General features: G+C 49.9%; 1 protein-coding gene across 24 annotated transcripts in view, besides 2 other annotated features; it reads right to left on the bottom strand.

Moving 5' to 3' along the window:
• Positions 1–15905, bottom strand: part of CAMTA1 (calmodulin binding transcription activator 1) — a 984253-nt gene that overhangs the window by 346624 nt on the left and 621724 nt on the right. The gene's annotated exons all lie outside the window — the stretch shown is intronic.
• Positions 12223–13154: an enhancer, noted in NCBI's record as "H3K4me1 hESC enhancer chr1:7469989-7470920 (GRCh37/hg19 assembly coordinates)". NCBI's record gives its function as "activates a minimal SCP1, AML or CMV promoter by ChIP-STARR-seq in primed H9 embryonic stem cells {active_cell/tissue: H9 hESC(primed)}" and the evidence as "EXISTENCE:reporter gene assay evidence [ECO:0000049][PMID:30033119]".
• Positions 13155–14086: an enhancer, noted in NCBI's record as "H3K4me1 hESC enhancer chr1:7469057-7469988 (GRCh37/hg19 assembly coordinates)". NCBI's record gives its function as "activates a minimal SCP1, AML or CMV promoter by ChIP-STARR-seq in primed H9 embryonic stem cells {active_cell/tissue: H9 hESC(primed)}" and the evidence as "EXISTENCE:reporter gene assay evidence [ECO:0000049][PMID:30033119]".

Here is a 15905-nt window from a genome sequence, read left to right as displayed (position 1 = left end):
ATCTAACTCATGCTGTCTTCATGAGCCTTATTGGTAGTAATCGGCTCCTGATTGAGATTAATGGAGAAAACATTTTCAAAACACTTAAATGGCACTGCCATTAATCTATGCTCTGAAAATGCATCTTGCAGGGCAACCTGGGAAAGGTGTTCATTGCAGTTTCAAATACAAATCCATCAAAGGTTTGCAAAGGGCCCCTCGCATCCACGGGCCAGTCTCTAAGAGCCAATGGAAAGCATGCCCTCCACTTGGTGCTTGCAGACCCCAATGTAGGGGGGTGTGGGGACTGCAGGGAGCCCTGTGTCCAGGTGGCATGTGCCAGCCCCATGTGGGAAGCTGCCTATGGAGTGGGTGTGAGGGCCCTAGGGTTGACAGGCAGCGTTCACAGCCTGGCCCCATTGGCTGTGGGCTGCTTGGCCTTGGTCTTAACCTCTCTGACCTCCACTTTCCCTGTCTGTAAAAGAGGGATATTAAAATCCTCATTTTCAATATTTGTAGTCCATTGTCTAAAAGATGTATCATCCTCATGGCATCCCATCTCTGCTAGGCTGCTGTGATGGGCAGCAGCACAGCACAGATCCCCCCAGCACAGAGGGGGTCTGGCCATTGGTGTTGTCAACCCTCTTCCTGCCCACATGTGCCCTTTTTCCTGCTATGTCCTCTCGCCTGTCCGTGGAAGCCGGGATCTGCTGTCTCCTCCAGGGTGGCTTCCCTGGTCCTGAAGCCCCTCTCACCCACCCCCAGCAGGAGGATCCACCAGGCCCTGGATGGAAGCCCCCGGCCTTTCCTCTGAGCCTCTTGCATCACTCACTGTCTCCCTTCAGCTCCTAGCATGGGCACCAGGACCCACAGCTGGAAACCAGGCATCTTGAAAACAGAGACCACGCCTGCATGTACGACCCACAGCACAGGCCCCTGCACAGGGGAGGGCCCAATCTGCCCTGTCCAGCTCCCACTCTGCCCCTTCAGACCCTCCTGCCAGTCAGCCCTGCTTTATGTTCTCATGGTTTCTGACATGTGGCACTTTTCTCCCTGGGCTGATTGTAAATATCTCCAGGAGCTGGAAGAGGTGATGAGGAATGCTGGAGATCCATGCCCTCCTCCACTCCCCCAGCCACGGCGCACCGAGAGGGCACCTGCAGATGCACAGCACAGATGCCACACAGAGCAACGCTTGCCAGGGGAGGGAGGCTTCCAGTGTGGAGTGAGCGCTGCTGGGTCATGCCCCAGTGCCCCGTGGGCCTGCAGGAGGGTATGGTCCCCTCTGTCTGTTGACCACAGACACCCAACCCCAGGAGAACGGCCTCCTGCCTCCTTGGTCTTTCCCTTCCCATCCTCCATCACGGACCCACCTGGTACCACCAATGAGGTGGCAACAGTGAGTGCTGGCATGGAAGGCCCCTCTGCGTGCCAGGTGCCATTCTGATCATTTCACATCAACTAATCCTCACACAGCCCAAGAGGGGGAGGCCGTTGTTACCTCCAGTTCCTACAGGAAGAAACTGAGGCCCAGAGAGAGTTCAGTAACTTGTCCAGGTGACCTCACTAATAAGTCCCAGAGCAATCCAGCACTCGTCACGTTCAGCCTCTCCACTCCAGTGTTATCTGGTTAAAAATATTCAACCAATAGGCTGGGCATAGTGGCTCACACCTATAATCCCAGTGCTTTAGGAGGCCGGGACGGGCGGATGAGCTGAGGTCAGGAGTTCAAGACCATCCCGGCCAACATGGCAAGACCCCGTCTCTACTAAAAATTACAAAAATTAGCTGGGTGTGGTGGCGGGCGCCTGTAATCCCAGCTACTCGGGAGGCTGAGGCAGGAGAATTGCTTGAATCCAGGAGGTGGAGGTTGCAGTGAACTGAGATCATGCCACTGCACTCCAGCCTGGGCAACAAGAGTGAGACTCCAACTCAAAAAAAAAAAAAAGAAAGAAAGAAAAAAGAAATTCAACCAATATCTACTGAACGGGGCACCTAGCCGCTATTCCAAGGGGTGCTGGAAATGTCCTGGATGAAGGCCAGAAGACAGCCAGGACACAGAAGGGCAGCACCTGCTTTTCTCAGGTCAAGAGACAGTTGGGACTTTCATCCCAGGGAGGCCTCCCCTGAGAAGCCCCCACTGGTGTGTGGCCTGTGGCAAATCTCAGGATCCCAGAGAATGTCCAGCTTGTGCCTCAGGGTGCTTCAGGCTCAAGTCCAGGATGATGTCAGCACCTGTGGCTGGGAACGTGCCCCTCAGGACCCAGCTGAGGCCCCTCTGCCCCCCTGGCTGGGTGCCCTTTGTGGAGGCCCTGCTGCACAGACACATTTGTACTTGAACGGTTCTGTCTGCTTCTCCACCAGCTTGGAGGCTCAAAGAATATGCTGATTTTGGCTCAGGGCATTGCTAATATTTGGACTGGGAGGTTATACGCATGGATTTCCAGGAGACTGAGCATAGAACAGAAACTTATTGACAGAGCCAAGACACATCGCAGCTCTGTGGAGAAGCTGGTGGGGGCTCGGTGGGAAGAGCAAACGAGGGCCACATGGAAGGGAAACCCTCCCTGGCCTATTCACTCCCTTAGTCCTTCACTAGACATGATTTCCTGAGTGCCACCAGGGCCTGGTGCTGTGGTAGGCACTGAGGATACAGCAGCAAACACATGTGGCCCCACGAAGCTCCACTCTAGTGGAGAGACAGACAGCGAACAAATGAGTAAACACAGCACTGTACATGGTAAGAAAAGCAATGGAGAAAAACAAGACAGAGCAAGGAGCAGGGCACTGGGCAGCAGGTCTGGAAAGGTCTCTCCGCTGGGGTGATGGAACTCAGCCTACCCAGACAGAGGGGAGAGGTGGGGGAGCCAGGCGGCCAAGTGTGCAGGACCGGGCAGGTGCTCCAGGTGGATGGGCTCGTGAGTGTGAAGGCCAAAGGAGGGGCACGCGTGGAGAACAGCATGGGTTCAGGAGGGTGTGCGGGCCCAGAGTGGAGGTCCCCACTGGGGTTGGGGCAGTTGCTCTCAGTAAGCTGCAAAGCCTCCTCCTGGTGGCTTCTGAGCAGGAAAGTGACATTAGCTGATGGCTCCAGGTAACAAAGAGACCACGGGGGCCAATGGCAGAAACATGCAGCTGTTATGATGATCAGGATGGAGGGCGGGATGGTGGAGTGGTCCAGCGTGGCAAAACTGCAGGGGTGGTGAGAAGCAGAAAGCACTCTGAAGGAAGAGCCCGCAGGATCTCCTGATGGGTGGGGGGTGGAGAGGAAGAATGGGGTGGGCCATGGATGATGCTGATGATTTTGGCTGAATGGCTGGAAGGTGAAAACTGCCATGTCCTGGTTCAGGTGGGATGACAGGAGGAGGCTGCTGGGTGGTGGTGGGGTGTGGGCTCCATGTGGCCGTGGTCAGTTTGAAATGCAAACGTCCAGGTCAGGAGGATGAGTCGACACTTAGGAGTCTGAGTCTAGACTTCAGGGGCAGAGGCCAGGCCCAGGGAATCAGTTTGGGAAGCATCAGCTTAAATGTGCCTTGTGGTGTTTAGAACCACGAGACTGAGTGAGCTCACCTAGGGATTGTGTGCAGACAGAGAGGTGGCCCAGGAAGGGAGCCCTGGGATCCCCAAAAGTCATGAGTCAAGGAGATTGGGGCTGGGCATGGTGGCTCACGCCTGTAATCCCAGCACTTTGGGAGGCCGAGGTGGGCAGATCATTTGAGTTCAGAAGTTCGAGACCAGCCTGGCCAACATGATGAAACTCTATCTCTACTAAAAATACAAAAAATTAGCCAGGAATGGTGGCAGATGCCTGTAATCCCAGCTACTTGGGAGGCTGAGGCAGAAGAATCATTTAAACCCAGGAGGTGGAGGTTGCAGTGAGCCGAGATCGTGCCCTGCATTCCAGCCTGGGCAACAAGAGCAAAACTTCGTCTCAAATAAATACATAAATAAAAATAAAAAGAAGAAGAAGTTCGGGAAGGGAAGAAAGTGCTGCATGAATGAGGAGTGCTCAGCCACCTGTCTACACAGACAACATGGGATGGAAGGTGGAGCTCTGAGGTTAGGAATACAGAGGCCGCAGTGACTGGGCTTTTAATTTGAGTGAGGCAGGAGCTGCTGCAGGGTTTCTGGCGGGCAGTGACCTGATCTGACCTGTGTCTGAAGATCCCTCTGGCTGCAGTGTTGATAATGGCCAGAAGCGCCTGGGGTGGAGGTGGCTATGGTGGTCCAGATTCGGGTCCCGGCAGCATGCAAGGGCAGAGCCAACAGGCTGCACTGAGTGGGGTGGAGGTGGGCAGGAGAGCAGCGTCCAGGATGCTCCAACGTGCTTGCCCAGAGAGCTTGGAAGGACAGGGTTGCCGCTGACCAAGATGGGCAGGCTGCAGTGAAGTGGGACTCAGGAGGGGAAGTTCAGGGGCTCAGCTTTGGGCTCCTGATATTTGAGACACTTGTTGGACAGCCAAGTGGCGATGTGGAGTGGACAGGTGGATCAGCAAATGTGAAATTCAACACAAGGCCCTGGGCTAGGGATCCGCATCTGGGGCCACTGGCACAGAGATAGCCTTTCAGGTCCTGGGGACAAGAGGAGGTCATCAGGAAGTGTTGAGAAGCCAGGCACGGTGGCTCATGCCTGTAATCCAAGCACTTTGGGAGGCCAAGGTGGGCGGACCACCTGAGGTCAAGAGTTCAAGACAAGCCTGGGCAACATGGCGAAATCCTGTCTCTACTAAAAATACAAAAATTAGTCAGGCACATTGGTGGTGGGCACCTGTAATCCCAGCTATTTGGGAGGCTGAGGCAGAAGAATCACTTGAACCTGGGAGGTGGAGGTTGCAGTGAGCCGAGATTGCACCACTGCACTCCAGCTCAGGTGACAAAGTAAGACTCCATCTCAACAACAACAACAAAAAGAAGTGTTGAAGAGCAGAAAGAGGACCAGGAAGTGGACTCTGGAATCCCAGAGCGGGGAGAAAAGATCCTGAAATAGAGAAACCAAGGGGTAGGAGGAAAGCTGGGAGAAGGTGGTGTCTTGGAAACCAAGAGAAGGGGGCAATCGACCACACCAAGGTACCCAAGACTAGCTGAGGAATGGCCAAGGAGGTGAGGGTCCTGATGCTTGGCACAGGAGGAAGGGCCTGGGTCTTCAGACTTGCTTTTTAAAATCATGGCGAAAAGCTGGCTTTAGGTGGAGCTAAGATGGCCAAATAGGAACAGCTCGGGTCTATAGCTCCCAGCGTGAGCGACACAGAAGACGGGTGATTTCTGCATTTCTATCTGAGGTACCAGGCTCATCTCACTAGGGAGTGCCGGACGGTGGGTGCAGGACAGTGGGTGCGGCACACTGTGTGTGAGCCGAAGCACAGCGAGGCATTGCCTCACTCGGGAAGTACAAGGGGTCAGGGAGTTCCCTTTCCTAGTCAAAGAAAGGGGTGACAGACGGCACCTGGAAAATTGGGTCACTCCCACCCTAAATACTGCACTTTTCCAAAGGGCTTAAAAAACAGCACACCAGGAGATTATATCCCACACCTGGCTCAGAGGGTCCTACGCCCATGGAGTCTCGCTGATTGCTAGCACAGCAGTCTGAGATCAAACTGCAAGGCGGCACAAGGCTGGGGGATGGGCGCCTGCCATTGCCCAGGCTTGCTTAGGTAAACAAAGCAGCCGGGAAGCTCGAACTGGGTGGAGCCCACCACAGCTCAAGAGGGCCTGCCTGCCTCTGTAGACTCCACCTCTGGGGGCAGGGCACAGACAAACAAAAAGATAGCAGTAACCTCTGCAGACTTAAACGTCCCTGTCTGACAGCTTTGAAGAGAGTAGTGGTTCTCCCAGCACGCAGCTGGAGATCTGAGAACGGGCAGACTGCCTCCTCAAGTGGGTCCCTGACCCCTGAGCAGCCTAACTGGGAGGCACCCCCCAGTAGGGGCAGACTGACACCTCACACGGCCGGGTACTCCTCTGAGACAAAACTTCCAGAGGAACGATCAGGCAGCAGCATTTGCGGTTCACGAAAATCTGCTGTTCTACAGCCACCGCTGTTCTGCAGCCACTGCTGCTGATACCCAGGCAAACAGGATCTGGAGTGGACCTCTAGCAAACTCCGACAGACCTGCAGCTGAGGGTCCTGTCTGTTAGAAGGAAAACTAACAAACAGAAAGGACATCCACACCAAAAACCCATCTGTACATCACCATCATCAAAGACCAAAAGTAGATAAAACCACAAAGATGGGGAAAAAACAGAGCAGAAAAGCTGAAACTCTAAAAAGCAGAGCACCTCTCCTCCTCCAAAGGAACATAGTTACTCATCAGCAATGGAACAAAGCTGGACGGAGAATGACTTTGACGAGTTGAGAGAAGAAGTCTTCAGACAATCAAACTACTCCGAGCTACAGGAGGAAATTCAAACCAATGGCAAAGAAGTTAAAAACTTTGAAAAAAAATTAGATGAATGTATAACTAGAATAACCAATGCAGAGAAGTGCTTAATGGAGCTGATGGAGCTGAAAGCCAAGGCTCGAGAACTACGTGAAGAATGCAAAAGCCTCAGGAGCCAATGCAATCAACTGGAAGAAAGGGTATCAGTGATGGAAGATCAAATGAATGAAATGAAGCGAGAAGAGAAGTTTAGAGAAAAAAGAATAAAAAGAAACGAAAAAAGTCTCCAAGAAATATAAGACTATGTGAAAAGACCAAATCTACGTCTGATTGGTGTGCCTGAAAGTGACGGGGAGAATGGAACCAAGTTGGAAAACACTCTGCAGGATATTATCCAGGAGAACTTCCCCAAACTAGCAAGGCAGGCCAACATTCAGATTCAGGAAATACAGAGAATGCCACAAAGATACTCCTCGAGAAGAGCAACTCCAAGACACATAATTGTCAGATTCACCAAAGTTGAAATGAAGGAAAAAATATTAAGGGCAGCCAGAGAGAAAGGTCGGGTTACCCACAAAGGGAAGCCCATCAGACTAACAGCGGATCTCTCAGCAGAAACTCTACAAGCCAGAAGAGAGTGGGGGCCAATATTCAACATTCTTAAAAAAAAGAATTTTCAACCCAGAATTTCATATCCAGCCAAACTAAGCTTCATAAGTGAAGGAGAAATAAAGTACTTTACAGACAAGCAAACGCTGAGAGATTTTGTCACCGCCAGGCCTGCCCTAAAAGAGCTCCTGAAGGAAGCACTAAACATGGAAAGGAACAACCAGTACCAGCCACTGCAAAAACATGCCAAATTGTAAAGACCATCAAGGCTAGGAAGAAACTGCATCAACTAATGAGCAAAATAACCAGCTAACATCATAATGACAGGATCAAATTCACACATAATAATATTAACTTTAAATGTAAATGGGCTAAATGCTCCAATTAAAAGACACAGACTGGCAAATTGGATAAAGAGTCAAGACCCATCAGTGTGCTGTATTCAGGAAACCCATCTCATGTGCAGAAACACACATAGGCTCAAAATAAAGGGATGGAGGAAGATCTACCAAGCAAATGGAAAACAAAAAAAGGCAGGGGTTGCAATCCTAGTCTCTGATAAAACAGACTTTAAACCAACAAAGATCAAAAGAGACAAAGAAGGCCATTACATAATGGTAAAGGAATCAATTCAACAAGAAGAGCTAACTATCCTAAATATATATGCACCCAATACAGGAGCACCCAGATTCATAAAGCAAGTCCTGAGTGACCTACAAAGAGACTTAGACTCCCACACAATAATAATGGGAGAATTTAACACCCCACTGTCAACATTAGAAAGATCAACGAGACAGAAAGTTAACAAGGATACCCAGGAATTGAACTCAGCTCTGCACCAAGCAGACCTAATAGATGTCTACAGAGCTCTCCACCCCAAATCAACAGAATATACATTTTTTTCAGCACCACACCACACCTATTCCAAAATTGACCACATAGTTGGAAGTAAAGCACTCCTCAGCAAATGTAAAAGAACAGAAATTATAACAAACTGTCTCTCAGACCACAGTGCAATCAAACTAGAACTCAGGATTCAGAAACTCACTCAAAACTGCTCAACTACATGGAAACTGAACAACCTGCTCCTGAATGACTACTGGGTACATAACGAAATGAAGGCAGAAATAAAGATGTTCTTTGAAACCAATGAGAACAAAGACACAACATACCAGAATCTCTGGGACACATTCAAAGCAGTGTGTAGAGGGAAATTTATAGCACTAAATGCCCACAGAAGAAAGCAGGAAAGATCCAAAATTGACACCCTAACATCACAATTAAAAGAACTAGAAAAGCAAGAACAAACACATTCAAAAGCTAGCAGAAGGCAAGAAATAACTAAAATCAGAGCAGAACTGAAGGAAATAGAGACACAAAAAACCCTTCAAAAAATTAATGAATCCAGGAGCTGGTTTTTTTAAAAGATCAACAAAATTGATAGACCGCTAGCAAGAATAATAAAGAAGAAAAGAGAGAAGAATCAAACAGACACAATAAAAAATGATAAAGGGGATATCACCACCGATCCCACAGAAATACAAAATACCATCAGAGAATACTACAAACACCTCTACGCAAATAAACTAGAAAATCTAGAAGAAATGGATAAATTCCTCGACGCATACACTCTCCCAAGACTAAACCAGGAAGAAGTTGAATCTCTGAATAGACCAATAACAGGCTCTGAAATTGTGGCAATAATCAATAGCTTACCAACCAAAAAGAGTCCAGGACCAGATGGATTCACAGCCGAATTCTACCAGAGGTACAAGGAGGAGCTGGTACCATTCCTTCTGAAACTATTCCAATCAATAGAAAAAGAGGGAATCCTCCCTAACTCATTTTATGAGGCCAGCATCATCCTGATACCAAAGCCTGGCAGAGATACAACCAAAAAAAGAGAATTTTAGACCAATATCCTTGATGAACATTGATGCAAAAATCCTCAATAAAACACTGGCAAACCGAATCCAGCAGCACATCAAAAAGCTTATCCACCATGATCAAGTGGGCTTCATCCCTGGGATGCAAGGCTGGTTCAACATACCCAAATCAATAAATGTAATCCAGCATATAAACAGAACCAAAGACAAAAACCACATGATTATCTCAATAGATGCAGAAAAGGCCTTTGACAAAATTCAACAACCCTTCATGCTAAAAGCTCTCAATAAATTAGGTATTGATGGGATGTACGTCAAAATCATAAGAGTTATCTATGACAAACCCACAGCCAATATCATACTGAATGGGCAAAAACTGGAAGCATTCCCTTTGAAAACTGGCACAAGACAGGGATGCCCTCTCTCACCACTCCTATTCAACCTAGTGTTGGAAGTTCTGGCCAGGGCAATTAGGCAGGAGAAGGAAATAAAGGGTATTCAATTAGGAAAAGAGGAAGTCAAATTGTCCTTGTTTGCAGATGACATGATTGTATATCTAGAAAACCCCATTGTCTCAGCCCAAAATCTCCTTAAGCTGATAAGCAACTTCAGCAAAGTCTCAGGATACAAAATCAATGTGCAAAAATCACAAGCATTCTTATACACCAATAACAGACAAACAGAGAGCCAAATCATGAATGAACTCCCATTCACAATTGCTTCAAGGAGAATAAAATACCTAGGAATCCAACTTACAAGGGACATGAAGGACCTCTTCAAGGAGAACTACAAACCACTGCTCAATGAAATAAAAGAGGATACAAACAAATGGAAGAACATTCCATGCTCATGGGTTGGAAGAATCAATATCGTGAAAATGGCCATACTGCCCAAGGTAATTTATAGATTCAATGCCATCCCCATCAAGCTACCAATGGCTTTCTTCACAGAATTGGAAAAAACTACTTTAAAGTTCATATGGAACCAAAAAAGAGCCCGCATCACCAAGTCAATCTTAAGCCAAAAGAACAAAGGCGGAGGCATCACACTACCTGACTTCAAACTATACTACAAGGCTACAGTAACCAAAACAGCATGGTACTGGTACCAAAACAGAGATATAGATCAATGGAACAGAACAGAGCCCTCAGAAATAATGCTGCATGTCTACAACTATCTGATCTTTGACAAACCTGAGAAAAACAAGCAATGGGGAAAGGATTCCCTATTTAATAAATGGTGCTGGGAAAACTGGCTAGCCATATGTAGAAAGCTGAAACTGGATCCCTTCCTTACACCTTAAACAAAAATTAATTCAAGATGGATTAAAGACTTACATGTTAGACCTAAAAGCATAAAAACCCTAGAAGAAAACCTAGGCAATACCATTCAGGACATAGGCATGGGCAAGGACTTCATGTCTAAAACACCAAAAGCAATGGCAACAAAAGCCAAAATTGACAAATGGGATCTCATTAAACTAAAGAGTTTCTGCACAGCAAAAGAAACTACCATCAGAGTGAACAGGCAACCTACAAAATGGGAGAAAATTTTCGCAACCTACTCATCTGACAAAGGGCTAATAACCAGAATCTACAATGAACTCAAACAAATTTACAAGAAAAAAACAACCCCATCAAAAAGTGGGCGAAGGATATGAACAGACACTTCTCAAAAGAAGATATTTATGCAGCCAAAAAACACATGAAACAATGCTCACCATCACTGGCCACCAGAGAAATGCAAATCAAAACCACAATGAGATACCATCTCACACCAGTTAGAATGGCGATCATTAAAAAGTCAGGAAACAACAGGTGCTGGAGAGGATGTGGAGAAATAGGAACACTTTTACACTGTTGGTGGGACTGTAAACTAGTTCAACCATTGTGGAAGTCAGTGTGGCGATTCCTCAGGGATCTAGAACTAGAAATACCATTTGACCCAGCCATCCCATTACTGGGTATATACCCAAAGGACTATAAATCATGCTGCTATAAAGACACACGCACACGTATGTTTATTGCAGCACTATTCACGATAGCAAAGACTTGGAACCAACCCAAATGTCCAACAACGATAGACTGGAGTAAGAAAATGTGGCACATATACCCCATGGAATACTATGCAGCCATAAAAAATGATGAGTTCATGTCCTTTGCAGGGACATGGATGAAACTGGAAATCATCATTCTCAGCAAACTATGGCAAGGACAAAAAACCAAACACCGCATGTTCTCACTCATAGGTGGGAATTGAACAATGAGAACACATGGACACAGGAAGGGGAACATCACACTCCGAGGACTGTTGTGGGGTGGGGGGAGGGGGGAGGGATAGCATTAGGAGATATACCTAATGCTAAATGACGAGTTAATGGTTGCAGTACACCAACATGGCCCATGTATACATATGTAACAAACCTGCACATTGTGCACATGTACCCTAAAACTTAAAGTATAATAATAATAAAATAAAATAAAAAAAGGAAAAGCTGGCTTTATCCCATCACAATCATTCATTCGTTCATTCAGCCACATTTGTTGAGTCCTGACATGGGCCAAGAGTCTCTCTCTGAGCTGGTACTTCTTCAAAGATCAGCTGCCAGCAAGGGTGTCCTCGGTCTTCTGAATCATGGCTTAAAAAAAAAGAAAGTTATTTAACTTGATACTAATTCCTTTTTTTTTTTTTTTTTTTTTTTTTTTGAGGCAGAGTCTCACCAGGCTGGAGTGCAGTGGTGCAATCTCGGCTCACTGCAACCTCCGCCTCCCAGGTTCTATCGATTCTCCTGCCTCAGCCTCCTGAGTAGCTGGGATTACAGGGCCGTGTCACCACGCCCGGCTAATCTTTTGTGTTTTCAGTAGACATGGGGTTTCACCATGTTGGCCAGGATGGTCTCTTATAGGACGCTGAAACATCCTGCGTCAGTCGGGGACTAGAACTGTCATTGCGCCAAAGAGGGGGACCCCTGCTCATGCCCCAGGGAGGCTTCGAAATGACTGAACTTGCCATCCCAGGGTCCGACGCGGCCCCTCCAAACCACAGTGATGGAAAGAGTGTGAGGACCTGTTCTGAAGCAGCTGGCTCCTTATCCAGAGGAACAGAGCAAGATAATAGCTTAGAAAACCAGGATGACCGTGGTGAGAATCGAATATATTATGGAGTCTATTTGCTTCTCCAAAAAAGACACTAAAACGTGCATGGATGTGGGTGCACACACACACACAGACATACACACACATACACAAACACATATACACACACATACACACACAGACATACACACATATACACACATACACACAGACATACACACACACACACACACACACACACAGACGCCCACCCTCCATGCACGTTGGGAACCCACAACCCCTTTAGTGACACAACTAGCAAGTATCTCCCAGCAGAGCGCCCCGTGTGGGCCCAGAACGCCCTGCTTTTCCACAGCATCTGCATTTTGAAGGCATTAAAGCGCCTGCAAGCTTCAGGGCTCCGTATTTCCAGCCCCGCTACATGGGCTGTGGGGACGTCATCAAGTGGTCCACACTCAAGGACTCTCAGGTCACGAGTTCTTCAACCTGAGCTGAGATAAGTACATTCTGAATTCTGTAGCCTCTGGTCATAAATATTCACCAGGGCCTCCTCTCCCTCTTTGGGTGATGGTGTCTCCTTTTCCTTTTTTGCAAAGAGTTATTGTTTCTATGGTTATCAAATCTTTGAAGATGTTGCTGAATCAGGAATTGTGGTCTGGCCTGTTCAAACGCAAAAGCCATCAGATGGGCTCCACGTGTCACTCTGCACCCACGTGGGCTCCTGACGACAGGCGGGAGGGGCCCTGGCCATTCAGAGGCTCGAGCCAGGTGACGGTGAGGGGTGGGACCCTCACCCAGCAGCTCAGGGGGCAGCTCTGCCGCAGGCCCTGGGCCCCATGTCCACCAGTTTTTGGGGGCTCATGCCCACGTCTTTGGTTCTTTCTTCCCCATTCTGTCTCTATTTCCCAGGTCCAGGCTGTACTCCAGTGAAAAATGCCCAATCTAGTCCTTTTCCAATTCTGCCTTAACCTAAGTTTACGCATTTACAGCTCACTTTAAAATCAACTGTAACAAATCCTTACTGCTTTCCTTCAAGGAGGGGAGAGCAACTGGAGAAAAGCCTCCAGCCACATCCTTTGCTCTTTGAAACACAAACCTACTGGCCCCCATTCCCTTCGAAGCTGTCTGTCTTGAGGCAGTGGCAGAAAGCAACAGCTGAGGGTACCCGGCTCCTTCCTGCTCAGTAACTCTCCTGACCTCCTGTTCTTGGCCAGGTCCAGGCCTCAGCCCACCCATCAACAGGGTCCCTTGAGCTTGAAAGACCCTGCAATGATTTGTCCGATTCCAAAAGAACTTGGGTGTCACCTTGCTGAGGTGCCCAGGAGAGAAAAATGAGGTGAGGAGTTGGGGGTTTCCCTCTGAGAACAAAAAAATTAATTTATTTTGCATTTGAAAGCTAAATGAGGGGGTCCTAGTCTCTTGTCCTGTGTGAGCTGGTGGCCTTGGGCAGAATTAGCTTCTCTGAGCCCTTGTTCCTCCCTGTGGAGACGGCAATCCCTCCTACCCCGTGGGCAGCTGGGAGGGCTCAGCACAGTCAAGTGGGAAGTCAAACCTGGGACAGGTGATAGTCACGAAATGCCAGCCATGGCCCAGGAAGCCCTTGGGAGCCTGCAAGTGTCAGGTGAGTCCTCATGCTGGACTCTGCCCTCAAGGGCGGGGCGTGGGTCTCATTTCCCACTGGCCAGGCTCTCGACCAGCCTGTAGGGCTAAGGGACTGGTAAGCTTAGTGGCTGGTGGCCAGAGGGGCAGGATGGAAGGCCTCCCCTGCAGGACAGAAGGGCCAGCTCTGATGGAGGCCAGGGGTCTCCGGACATCTTGGGCTGACAGTGGGCTCTCCTCCCTCCAAGAAGAAGTATTCGGACAATCAGGTCGTGCTCTTTCCCACCATCCCCCTCTTGGTCCGCTCTGTCTCTCCATCTGGGATTGTCTAGTAGATGACGGAAGTCCAGCCTGCATGCCCTGAGTAGGTGGACCCAGTTTTCTTCTCAGCCTCTCAGCAGCTCACTGCTGGGAGGTCAGAGCCCTTGGGCTCCATGTGTAGCTCCTTCTCTCAGGCTGCCGTGGTCACGACCTTGGAGAGAGGGCCACAGGCAGGTACTTAAAGGAGCGCCTAGGTGTTGTCTGCTGAGGGCCAGGGGAGGCTGGGACAGGAGGAGTGTTCTGGAGCAGCCTCTGGCCTCTGTTGCTTTCATATGGGCAGGGAGGTTGGAACACCTGGCTGGCGCTGAGCAGACAGGCACCAAGGGGTGGCAAAGGAAGGTGTGTGAGTGGGAGGGGGAACCGTGGGCCCTGCTGCCAATGAGTGCCAGACTTGGGGCCTCAGTTTCCCCACCTGCCAATTCAGAGAGATGAACTAGATGATCACCATTGTCCTCTCGGCTCTGATGCTTGCCCAGCAAGGCGTGCTATGGAGGCTGAGGACCCAGGCCGCCTGGCGCCCAGGGCTTACTGTAGATGGCAGTGCCCAGAAGCTGATAGCCATGCATGCCCACCTGGCACCATCACCAAAATCGAGAGCAGCCTGTGAAGCTGTGGCTCAGCAGGGAGACTCCAGCCAGGGCAGAGGTGCTGCCCAGGGTGGCTTCCTCCTCCCTACCCTGTCCCTACATCTCCTCTGAGGCTCCCACAAGTGGCCAAGCGGCTCAGGACATAGAGACAGCTGAGGTCAGCAGAGGCCTGGCCAAGACAGCACACCTGGCAGGAGCGAGGCGAGGCATGGGGAGGAGGGGAGGGGCTGCTCCTAATGACTGGGACCCCACCAGCCCCGCTGCTCGCAGAAGGCTCAGGGGCTCCACCTCTTACTCCACAGACACGCGGAGCAGCTGTTCTGTGCCAAGTCCTTGCTGAGCACAAAGATGCAAAGCTAACGCAGACATGCTTGGTCCCTATTCTCAGGAGTCTCTGTCTGCCCCGCCATCGCCAGGCTTGCCGGGGGCCCTGGTCTCCGATTTCCCCCTGAGCCACTTGCAACCACTTCGTTCAGATGACACCTGACATGGGCCAGAGGACCACCATGAGCTCTGTCCCTGAGATGCCTCCTGGACGGAGCAGGCGGGACAGAGAGCACCCACGACCAGGCCTCGTGGCCGGTGCCAGGCCTGCTTCCAACCTTTCTCCCACTCAGGGTCTTTGGCCAGCTCTCTGCTTGCATTGGTGTTTGTTGAGAACTTCTGGCTCCTCTAAGAAGCAAACAAGTCCTCTCCAGTGGGCTTGGGAGAACCTTCGTTGAATGCAGGGTAGGCCAAGGTAAAAATGGGATAGAATGCAAGATGGCCCTGGCTCCCTCCCTTCCTGGGGGACTGTCCCCAGGCCCCCAATGCCCTGCGATGGCCTTGGTCACCTACATCCATGCCTGGACCTTGGCCTGGGCATCAGGCTCCCTTCTAAAACCAAGCAGCACCTCGTGAACATGCCTGGCAGAGACCTGCAGGCTGGCACGGGCATCCCCAGTGCGTTGGACGGAGACGCGCTGTCTCAGTGCAAATCAAAGGGCTTTCATTCTTAAAGCCAGAGGGGCCTAGAGACCACCTTTGCAGTCACCCCCCAACACCCACCCATGTCCTTTGCATTTGGGGGTGGGGAGGTGAGGCCAACACAGGGAACCAACTCCCTCAAGGTGGCTCCACTCTCTAGGGCAGCTCAGCTCCTCCCAACTCACCATGGGTGGCCTCTTCCTCAGCCCTGAGACTTCAGACTTCAGAGTGAGGAGTGAGGGGCCCCACAGAGCAGGGCCCTTCCCAGACCCTCCAGTCACACACTGCATGCAGGTGCCTGTCTGTGGTCCCCCAAGACAGCCTGTGCCCTCCCCGAGCCTGGGCTGCACCAAAGGCCCTGGCTTTAATAGCCTCTGTATCTTCCCCTGCAGTTACTACCCCAGCAGCCATGAGCCCCCCAAGTCAGTTCTTTTAGTAACCTTGCCAGTCGACAGGTGCTTCAGGGAGGCTGGGTAGGAAGGAGCATAT

Source organism: Homo sapiens, chromosome 1 (genome assembly GCF_000001405.40).
Source record: "Homo sapiens chromosome 1, GRCh38.p14 Primary Assembly".
NCBI classification, from domain to species: Eukaryota; Metazoa; Chordata; class Mammalia; order Primates; family Hominidae; genus Homo; species Homo sapiens.
Note: the sequence above shows the minus strand (reverse complement) of the source record. Positions and strands in the feature narration are given on the sequence as shown.